Here is a 12,041-nt window from a genome sequence, read left to right on the forward strand (position 1 = left end):
TAGCATTGAACACATTGACAAAGAAAGGGGTTATGCATCAGCTCTCTCGTATCCTAAATTCCACTGTAATCAAGGGTGTCCCTTCCAGACAGGATAATCACATGCCCATGTTTCCTTCCTGTTATAGCTCAAGGGAAGCATGAGACTACTCAATGTGACTGAGGATGCCCACAACACAGAGAAAGATCTGAATCTTTGGCCAAACATGATAGAAAGGCCTTCATAACAGTTTACAGAGACAATCTTCAATTTTGTATGCTTCATACATTTTACAGAATCTGTAACAGTGTGAGAAACAAGACCAAAGCTCATCAACATAAAAATTTCCACAGCCAATTTATAAAGTTTATGAAGAGAATTCTATTAGTGACCAAACAGTACATTTTTATGCTATCCAGCTGTTTTACTTCAATGGCCAAAGAGGACGTGTGAGAATAAATCATCATCATTTGTAAAAAGTCCTTGGGGGACTCACATGATAGTCTAACTGTCAGTATAATCTCTGGCATCCTTACCCAAAACAGAAGAATGTTACAGATATGAGGATAAAAAGGGCCATCCTTTGTAACATACAAGAGACTCTCAATGAAAAATCCGGCAACCTCTAAAAATATAAAACTGCATTAAAATTATTAATAATAGTTAAATTTTGAGTGTTTACTATTTGTCAGTTACTGGGCTAAGCATGTAACATAAATTTTCTAATTTAATTTTTATAGCTTTCCTTGCCGTATCCTAAAACACCCTTCCCTTAAGATCTGATCAGCTATTCATCTGATGACCATGTGCTTCCTTGAAAGCTGACTTTACCCCACAGATTGAAGGACAGAGTGTGCATTACCTAGGATAGGCCAGTTGGTATATTCTACCTACTCATACGGTTCAGGAATAAGATAAGCCAGTCCAGTCAGAGTGAACCAAACCAGGTGAAGCAAAATACATCCTAAGTCTCTTGCTGGGAATTCTGAGGCAAAACTACCTTGAATTGGGTCTTCTGCCACATGTAACACAAGGAGTTTCAACTACTATGTAATAGTGTCATCTCCATTCTGCAGACGGGAAAATGGGGGGCAAAAGAGGCTAAGTTCCAATTAAGACTTAAACTCAAACTATCTATATATTCTTTTCCACTATGTTATCCTGTGCTGAGAAAATTGGCCACATTGTTTTTTTTTTAAAAAAAAAAAAGCAAAGATAAGTAACGTGTTCCTTGTAACAGATGTGTTTTAGAAAAGTCAAATGCAATTACTTTCAATGCGCTAGGGAAACTCATAACCAAAAGAAGCCTTCAAAATGTCCTCATAAAATAAAAGGCTATCTTTTTATATATAAATTTAGATTTGTACATATTAGACTTTCTTAAGGTAGGCATGATTTTTTTTTTAAGAGACTCTAATTGTTCACTTAAAAATACTCACTGAAGGTGCCAACCCTGAATCCAGGTATCATTATCTCCAGTTTGCATATGAGGAAACAGAATTAGAGAGCTTATGCACTTTCTCCAAGGTAACACAGCTATAAACTAATAGGTCCAGGATTCACACCACGATTTCACCAGAAGTCTGTGGCTCTCAACCACCCATTGTACCTTCCCATGCACTATTTTGTGTTGTTATTCCAACAATACAAAATGCAAACATCTGAAAAAGTACCTTTTCAGAATCTACAAAGTGTGTAGCAATTCCTGCTCTGTACACATCTCTTCCTTTTAGTCTGAATCCTGTTAATGCAAGGAAGTAACCAAGTTTTCCTTGGAGTCGTGGCAAGAAATAACCTCCACCCACATCAGGGAACAGTCCTGTAATTAAATGTAACAAAAAGAGATAATGGTGATTCAAATGAAAAAGATAAATATAACCTTTTTGCCGTAGATCACACAAACCATTTCTCTCTGGAGCTTGAATATACATTACAAACATTATTAAACTAAGTACTATACACTGCAATCAATATCACAAAAGACTTGCTATGAACTGTGCTAACTTGGGTATTTTTCAAAACCTTCATGTCTCATTTCTATAGAAGTCAGTAAAGTATTTGATGACACAATGTTTTGTATATTAGAAGTACTCAATGTTACCTAAATTTTCTTACCACTGATCTACTTTTGAAGAATCTCCAAAATAGGTAAAAATTTCAAAAAAATTTATTTCCAAATCAGCACAGGAAAAAAAAATACATAACCTATGGCCTATTATAGCAAAATTATTACCATTTAAATCATGTCCCAACCTTAGTCAATTATCTAATATTCAAGATGTTTAAATATTGATGCAATAATCACAAGTCCTACTAAATGAACAGGTTTATACCTAATAAAATCATTTGCATTTACCCTTTTCTTAACCATCAGTATTTAAAAATTATCTACGGGTAACAACTGAAAATAGCATATAAGGCTAGGCGCGGTGGCTCACACCTGTAATCTCAGCACTTTGGGAGGCCAAGACAGGCAGATCACCTGAGGTCAGGAGTTCAAGACCAGCCTGGCCAACACAGTGAAACCCCGTCTCTACTAAAATTCCAAAAATCAGCCGGGCATGGTGGCGCATGCCTGTAATCCCAGCTACTGGTGAGGCTGAGGCAGGAGAATCGCTTGAACCCGAGAGGCAGAGGTTGCAGTGAGCTAATGCCACTGCACTGCAGCCTGGGCAACAGAGCAAGACTCCATCTCAAGTAAAAATAATAATAATAATAAAATAAAGAAAATAGCATACATACAAGTAATTACCAGCACACTCCTTTGGGTGTTTAAGATCTTAAACAACTGTGACCCTCTAGTTTTATAATTTATGTATCTGTTCTAAAGTTTCCTTTAATTATGTTGGGATAAAAATGCAAGCACTAAAATTCTCTCCAGTTCTACTTTACAAAAAAGTTCTAGACTTAAAAGAAAAAGCATCATGCTCCTGTAAACAGAAATATCTCTTAGTATCTCAAACTAGCTAGGTCTCAAGTTAAACTCATAACCTCCCCGCGCCAGTCCCACAATCTTCCTCCAGCATCACCTACCTCAATAAAGGGTGCACGTATACAGCCTTGACACCTTCTCGCACCATCCCCTTAATCCCCATCAGTGACCACATCTTATTGATTTTCCCTCTGAACTGTTCTCCACACAATAGCCAAAGTGATCTTTTAAAAACACAAATCCTTACCAGAGTCTTGCATCCACTGCTTAAAACCCTCCCATGGCTGCCTATTTCTCCTGGATTAAAACAAACACCTTTATCAAAGTCTTCAAGGCCCCTTACCACTTTTTCCACTACATCCCTTACTACTCACTCCCAATACTCCAGCCACTCTGGTCTTCTTTCAGTTCCCTAACATTCTACACTCATTCCTGCCCCAGAGCCTCAGCAGCATGCTGCCCAAGTGGAAAAACCCTCCATCCTGACAACACGTTCTTCTCTTCCAGGGTACCACATTCTCTCTTTTCTCCCCCTTCCCCCAATTCTGCTTCTTTCCAGTCTCCCTCACAGACACCACCTCCTCTGCTTGACCTCTTGCTCAAGGTGCCTAAGCTCCATATTAGGCTACCTCCTCTTTCCTATATATACATTTTCCTTAACTCCTATGACTTTAAATAATATCTATATGCTGATTACTCCCTGCTATGGACTGCATTGTGTCCTTCCAAAAAGTCCTATGTTGAAGCCCTAACCCTCGATGTAACTGCATTTGGAAGCAGGGCCTTTGAAGAGGTAATTAAGTTTAAGTGAGGTCATAAGGGTGGGGTCCTAATCCAACAGGACTGGTGTCCTTATAAGAGGAGGAAGAAACACAGGGATGCATGTGAACAGAGAAAAGGCCACATGAGGACAGAGCAAGAAGGCAGCAGTCTATTAGCCACAGAGAGAGGGCTCAAGAGAACCATCTGCTGACACCTTGATCTCAGCCTTTCAATCTCCAGAACTGTGAGAAAAAAAATTTCTACTGTTTAAGCAACCAAGTTTGTGGTATTTTGTTATGCAGCCCTAAAAGTTTAATACACTGCGAAATCACTCATGCCTTCTCCCGTGAACACTGAACTCTTAGATCTGCCACCTAAACAGAACCACATAGATAATAAGTATCTCACATTTAACATGGCAAAAGTAGAACTACTGATTCACAAACCTCCAACTACACTGCTCCTTCCCTCATCAGCCTCATCCATCAAAGTAGCACAAGTTAAATACCTTGGAGTTATTCCTGATTCATCATACCAGCAAGTCAGTTAAGCCCAAAACATGTTTCAAATCTATTCACTCTTTTCAACTCTATACCTCCAAACTACTCCAAAGCCAAAATCTCTCCAGACTGTGCTGTCCAACAGAACTTTCTACAATGATGAAATCTATAATTTCTGCTGTCCAATAAGACAGCCACTAGCCATATGTAGCTATTAAACACCTGAAATGTAGCTGGTGTGACTGAGGAACTGAATTTGTTTTCTTTAAATTTAATTAATTTATATTAAAATTTTAAAAGCCACTTGTGGCTAGTGGCTATACAGTATTGGACAGTGTAGCTCTAGACTAATGTAATAACCTATTATCCAATCTCACTGCTTCTACTCTGCTACCCCTACAATCCATTATCCTCAAAGCAGCCAGAATCATGGTACTACAATATAAATATAAACTAGATTATGTCATTGCCTGCTTTATACTCTTCCACAACTTCCCATATTTAGGTTTAAATCTTAACTCTTCACCAGAGGCCCCCATGTACCCTTTTGAGAGCATGTTACATCACTCCTGCCCTCGATTCAGACACAGATTGCCTCCATTTGGTTCCTTTAACAGGCCAAGTTCATTCTTACCTAAGGGTCTTGAGCTAACTTTTCTTAATGCCACAATATTCTGCTCTCAGTTCTTCATGTAGCTGACTCTTGCTATTCACATCTCAGCTTAAAGGACAACTCCTCTGAGAGCATCTTTAATCATCCAATTTAAAGTAGCCATCTGGGAGACTTATACTTTGGACAAGATAGAGTAACAGGAACCAGACTTATCCCCCTACCTGAAACAACTATAAAAACAGACACAATATATGGATCAATAGTGTTTTCAACACACTGAACATCAAGCAATAAAGAAAAGTGGTCTCTGAATATCAGAAAACAAGCAAGGTAAATTCTACAACAGCTCCAACTTCATGCCTTGAGTGAATTCCCAGGCCCAGCACAGTGCCTCATTTGAGAAGATGAAGCTGAGTCTAGGGAAACCAAGACAGCTAGAATTCCCACAACAGAGTACCAGAGCGGAGAGAGCTGCAGAGAGAAAGCTCTGGAGATCTGCAGGGTGTCTCTTTTAAGTACTTAGCTTAGGAATGGAGAGAGAGAGAGAGAGAGAGTGTGTGTGTGTGTCAAGAAACTACATGATTAGTCAGTTTTCACACTACCCGAGACTGAGTAATTTATAAAGGAAAGAGGTTTAATTGACTCATAGTTCCAAATGGCTAAGGAGGCCTCAGGAAACTTACGATCATGGCAGAAGGCAAAGCAAGCTTGGACCTTCTCACATGGTAGTAGGAGAAAAAAGAGTGAGGAGCAAAGGGGGAAGAGCCCCTTATAAAACCATCAGCTCTTGTAAGAACTCACTATCATGAGAACAGCAAGGGAGACACTGCGTCCATGATCCAATCAGCTCCTACCAGATCTCTCCCTGGACACATGGGGATTACGGGGATTACAATTCAAGATGAGATTTGGGTGAGGACACAACGCCTAACCATATCACTACATGAGACTAAGGAAAGAATCACAGAAAATGATTATAGAGAACAGTACTGGGAACCCACACAGGACTAAAAACAGCATGTTCCCCACCATCTGGACTAGAAAAACTCATGATTGATGTCATGGGGCACTGTGCAGAACACAAAGCAAGATCTTGCCCCAGTAGTGGGAAATAATTAGCCCTAGTTGGACCACTGCTCCAATTCTGCAAAAAAAAAAAAAAATAATAATAATAAATCTTACAACACTTGAAAATATTAAGATGTTTCCCAGGAATTTAAATTCATCTCAGAAGAAATCTCAAAAATACTTAAAAGAATACAAAAATATCCAGCACCCGACAAAGTAAAGTTTACAATATGTACAATTCAATAAAAAATTACCAGCTATCTAAAGATGCAGGAAAATACTAACCATTAAAAGGGGATTTAAAAAAATAAGAACCGACATAAATGTAAGAACCAGCAGACAAAAACATTAACACAGTTATCACAAACATAACCTATATATTCAAGAAGTTAGAGACACAGAAAATTTTTCTTTTCAGAAAAAGAACCAAATCATACTTCTAGAGATGAAAACTGAAATGAATGTATAAGCTGAAAAATACCTGGATGAGATTAAGGGCAGATTAGATCTTGTAGAAGAGAAGATTAATGAATTTAAGGACACAGGAACAGAAACTATCTAAAATGAAAGAGAGAAAAAAAATGTTTTTAATGAATGAAGCATAAGTGAGCCTTATAGAAGTATGACCAGAATTCCTGAAAACGGAATGGGTGGAAAAAAAGTATTTGTAGAAATAATGGCAGAAAATTTTCCAAATTTGACAGAAGTTATAAACCTAAGTAGCTCAATAACCACAAGCATTAGAAATATGAAGAGCACCAAAGCACATCATAATCAAATAGCTTGAAACATGTGATCAAGAGAAAATCTTAAGAGCAGCCAAAGAAAATAAAAAGACACAGGAACAAAAATAAGGAAGAGAGAAGACTTTCTGTAGGAAATTAAATGAGATGACAGTGTAGTAACATCTTTAAATTACTGAAATTAAAAACCAGAGTAGAATCGAATTCCATACCCACATCTCATACAAGTGAACTCAGGTTTCACCTGAGGAAATGAAAGAAGAGCAAACAAAATCTAAAATAAGCAGAAGAAAGGAGGAATGAATACTGGAGCAGAAATCAGCAAAATAAAAAATAAATGAAAACAAAAATCTGTTTAAGATCAATAAAATTAATAAACCTCTAACTAGATTGATCAGGAAAAAAAAAGAGAAGACACAATGACCAATATCAAGAATAAGAGAGCCAGAAATCACTAAGGAGTCTACAGATATTAAAAAGATAATAGGGGAATATTATTGTCTTAGTCCATTTTGTGTTGCTATGACAGAATACCACAGACCGGGGTAATTTAGAAAAAAAATTATTTCTCACAGTTCTGGAGGCTGGGAAGCCCAATATCATGGTGCCAACATCACACGAGGGCCTTCTTGGTGCATCATCCCACGGCAAAAGGCAAGGGTGAGACAGGACAAGAGAGCAGAAGGAAAGGGGGCTGAAGTCATCCCTGTATCGGGAACTAACCTGCAAAAACTGGAAGAGCCCCCATGAACCACTCACCTCTTAGTGGTACCAACTCTCAACACTGCTGAGTTGGGAATTAAGTTTCCAACACGTGAACTTCAGGCGACACATACAAAAAAGCAATTATGAACAACTTTATGCTAACAAATTGACAAATTTCTTGAAAGGCCCTGATATGGTTTGGCTCTGTGTCCCCATTCAAATCTCATGTTGAATTGTAATCCCCAGTGTCGAATGAGGGGCCTGGTGGAAGGTGATTGGGTCATGGGGGCAGATTTCCCCCTTGCTGTTCTCATAATAATGAGTGAGTTCTCATGATATCTGGTTGTTTTAAAGTGTGCAGTACTTCTCCCTTCACTCTCCTGCCAGCCACGTGAAGATGCACTTGCTTCCCCTTCATCTTTGGCCACGACTGTAAATTTCTGGAGACCTCCCCAATCATGCTTCCTGTACAGCCTGTGGAACTGTGAGCCAATTAAACCTCTTTTCTTCATAAATTACCCAGTCTCAGGTAGTTCTTTATAGCAATGTGAGAATGGACTAATACAGCAAACCGGTACCAGAGAAGTAGGGCATTGCTATAAAGATACCTGGAAATGTAGAAGTGACTTGGGAACTAGGCAACGAGCAGAGATTGGAATAGGTTGCCTCTTTACTCTGCTAATTGTTTTCTTTGCTGTGATTCTAGAAGCGTTTTACATAATGTAATTCTATTTGTCTATGCACAGACCTTGGGAGCCACCCCTTGCATCAGTGTAGCCTGGATGTTGGATAGATTCAACAACATGTGTATATACGACAACAATCGTATATTTTTGTTTTTGTTGCCTGAGCTTTTGGCGTCAAAGCCAAAAAATTATTGACCAGATTAATGTCACGTCATTTTCCCATATGTTTTCTTCTAGTGGTTTTGCAGTTTCAGGTTGTATGACTACATCTTTAATCCATTTGAGGTTTTTTTCTAAAATATAATATGAGGTATGGGTCTAATTTCATTTTTCTGCATATGGATATCCAGTTTTTCTGACATCATTTATTGAAGAGACTGTCCTTTCACCATTATGTATTCTTGGCATCTTTCTTGAAAATCACTTAACTGCAAATATATGGATTTGTCTCTGGGCTTGCTATTCTTTTCCAGTGGTCTACGTATTCATTTTTATTCCAGTACTATGCTGTTTTGATTACTAAAACTTTGCAATAGTGTTTGAAGTCAATACAAAGCCTCTAGCTTTGTTCTTTTTGCTTAAGATTATCTTGGCTATTTGCAGTCTTCTTTGGTTCCATATGAATTTTAGAATTGTTTTTTCTATTTTTTTGAAAACTGACATTGGGATTTTGATAGGGATTACACTGAATCTGTAGATCACTTTGGGTAGTAAGAACATTTTAAAAATATTCTTCCAATCCATGAACATGTAATATCTTTTTATTTATTTGTGTCTTCTTCAATTTTTTTCATCAAAGTTTTGTAGTTTTCAGTATACAGATGTGTGTGTGTGTGTGTGTGTGTGTGTGTGTGTGTGTGTGTGTGTGTGTCTGTCTGACTGACATGGTCTGGCTCTATTGCCCAGGCTACAGTGCAGTGGCATGATCTCAGCTCACTGCAGCCTCTACTTTCAGGGCTCAAGCCATCCTTTTATCTCCACCTCCTGAGCAGCTGGAACCACAGGCACACGCCACCATGTCCAGCTATCTTTTGTTATTTTTGTAGGGATGTCGTTTCGCCATACAGATTTTACCTACTTGGTTAAATTTATTTCTAAGTATTTTATTCTTTTTGATGCTTTTGTAAATGAAATTGTTTTCTTATTTTTCAAATAGTTTGTTGTTAGTGTATAGAAATGCTGATTTTTATGTGTTGATTTTATATCCTACAGCTTTACTGTATTTATTAGTTCAAACAGTTTTTTACTGGAGCTGTTGGAGTTTTCCATATATATATAAGAGCATGTCATCAGCAGTGACAGTTTCACCTCTGCTTTTCCTGTTTGGATGCCTTTTATTTCTTTCTCTTGCCTAATTGCTCTGGCAAGGACTTTCAATACAGCATTGAACAGAAATGATGAGAGCAGGCATCATTGTCTTGTTCCTTATCTTAAATGAAAAATATATACCTTAACATCAAACTTAATTGGTAGAAGACTAAATGCTTTCCCCTAAAATCAGGAACAAGGAAAAAATGTCCACTCTCACCACTTCTATTCAACATTGTATTGGAAGTTCTATTCTACGCAATAGGGCAAGAGAAAGAAATAAAAGGTATCCAGATTAGAAAAAGGAAAGGAAAAAGTAAAACTGCTCTTACTTGTGAATGACATAATTGTCTCTTTAGGAATTCCAGTAAAGTAGAATCGAATTCAAATCTAAAGCAACTAAAACTAATAAGTGAGTTTAGCAAGTCTGCATGATAAAGGTAAATACAAAAATCAACTGTATTTCTTTAGACTGGTAACTAACAATTCAAAAATATCATTAATATGAAATACTTATGGATAAATATGACAAAAGATAAGACCTATAAACTGAAAACTAAAAATCCATGCTGAGAGAAATTAAAGACCACTTACATAAATGAAGAATTATATCTTGCCCACAGGTCTGAAAAGACTCGATAGTGTTAAGATGTCAATTCTCTCTAAATTCATCTGCAGGCTTTTTTGTTGAAATCGACAAGTAACTCTAAAATACATATGGAAAGATAAAGAACCTATATAGCCAAAGCAACTTGGTAAGATACAAAGAACAAAGGTGGAACATTGTCACTACCTGATTTTAAGACTTAACTATAAAGCAACACTAACCAAGACAACATGGTGTTGGCACCATGATTGACATCTATAGACAACTATAACAAAGCTACACAGGCAATTCAGTAGCAAAACAATACCCTTTCAACAGTTGGTACTGGAATGATTGTATTTCCATATACAAAATAAACTTTGACTTATATAGGTGATCCACACCCCTCACCATATACAAAAATTAACTCAGAAGTGTCATATGATAGTTTTGATCACAACTCAAAACTGCACAGATCTAAAGGCAAAAATATATTCCCTTAATGATATTTTATCTATAGTGTTAATGTTTTATTTATAGTGTGTTAATGTCTCCTTTAATGTTCTCAGTTTTGTGTTTTCAGATATAATCATTGAGCTAATATAGACTTCAAAGTATCTTCCTATTTAATTTCTTTTTTAAAATCCTTTCATTGTTGCATCTCACACAAGAGTCCATCAATTCCTTCAACAACAGTAAACTCTGAAACATATCAAAAGAAGATGATGCTAAAAGTAATTATAAAAAAAATTCTGGTTGTTTACCTATTGCAGTTTCTGGCATAGCAAAAAGACACTTTTCTGTAGCCACTCGAAATTGCCCATGGACTGAGAGACCAACTCCCTAGAGAAAAAAGGCAAAAAAAGAGGCGGGGGGGAATTAAACATATTGTTAAAAAACAAGCAAATTCACACACTTACAAAATTACAAAGCAAGTAAATTATCTTTATACTCCACAGGAACTTGCTTCAGGGAATAGGTTGTCCCCACCTCTTTCAATTAACTTTGAATTCCACAAACAGCACATGACTATATTCCCCTTTATTAAACATTTACACATAAAGTCTGATCACACCCCCATTCTTGTCTGGTCATTCTCTTCCTCCACAGAGACACATAGCTATTATCCATTTGGTAAGTAACCTACGATTTTTTTCCCTATGTATTTCTTATATATGAACAAATGTGTCTATTTATCTGATATATATTTTATATATAAGAATATATACAACTATACATATATAAAATTCACACTCTATTCCATGGCCTGCAAGGCTCTATATCACCTGGCCTAGCTGACCTCTTTGACTTTATCTCCCATCACTCTTCCCGCACTCGTTCCACTAGCCATGGGGGCTTCATGCCATTCCTCCAAAATTTTAAGCTTTTACAATTTCAATTAATCATAAAACTTCTAAGGTAAGAAGAAAAACTACTAGATAAGGCCACTGCCTGCTCAATCACTGCTTTTTCTCTAAGGGAATCTGCTCTGCCCAGAGACTCTCTTTTCCTTTCCCCAGGAGGGGCTGAACTAGGGATTGGCAATGGACCCAAGGGCAGCCAATGGAGACTAACCAGAATTCAGAGGCCTGGGGAGCAAAGAGGCAGGGGTGAATTAGATAAGGTTCTTCTTACTCTTAGGTACTTAAAACTAAAACACAGTGCACAGTTGTCAGTCGATGACAGGCAGTGAAGCTTAAAGGTCATCTGACATTTGAGCTAAAGATGACAATGACAGCCAAGTAAAAGCTGGTTTTATATGCGGTAGAGACAAAAAAAAAAAAAAGAAAAGAAAAGAAAAGAAAAAAACCCTGAGAATGCTGCAGTCTGTACAAGACAGAAAACAAAACAAACACATAAAAAGAAGCAGAGATAGAAAAATAAACACACAACTTAAATTTGCCTCAAGCCCACACCTGCAGTCCAATTTTCAGGAACATAAGCAATGCCTAAGGTCCCTGAACTTGTCTAATAACTGCCCCATTCTCTTTTGTGGATCTTTTTGAGTGAGTCTCTGTTCTTTCCAATTAAAATGTCTCTTCACCACATTTTCAGTTAGAACTAGACCTAGATCCTGCCATCAGCATCACACAACGTAAGTCTTTGGGCCCCCAGTATATATTCACTGCAATACTGTTCTGTGCTTTTCCTCCCAACAC

General features: G+C 37.4%; 1 protein-coding gene across 6 annotated transcripts in view; it reads right to left on the bottom strand.

Moving 5' to 3' along the window:
* HIBCH (3-hydroxyisobutyryl-CoA hydrolase) overlaps window positions 1-12,041 on the bottom strand; it is a 130,092-nt gene that overhangs the window by 60,775 nt on the left and 57,276 nt on the right. For all 6 annotated transcript variants that reach the window (XR_922903.3, XM_047443905.1, NM_198047.3 and 3 more), the window contains 2 exons: window positions 10,647-10,725; window positions 1,653-1,798 (listed from right to left, as the gene is read on the bottom strand). Coding sequence is in view for 5 of the 6 variants with exons in the window: in XM_047443905.1 (XP_047299861.1) it covers window positions 1,653-1,798; window positions 10,647-10,725 (225 nt within the window). In the remaining variant the exon portion in view is untranslated. The remainder of the gene's footprint in view (window positions 1-1,652; window positions 1,799-10,646; window positions 10,726-12,041) is intronic.

Source organism: Homo sapiens, chromosome 2 (genome assembly GCF_000001405.40).
Source record: "Homo sapiens chromosome 2, GRCh38.p14 Primary Assembly".
Lineage (NCBI taxonomy): Eukaryota > Metazoa > Chordata > Mammalia > Primates > Hominidae > Homo > Homo sapiens.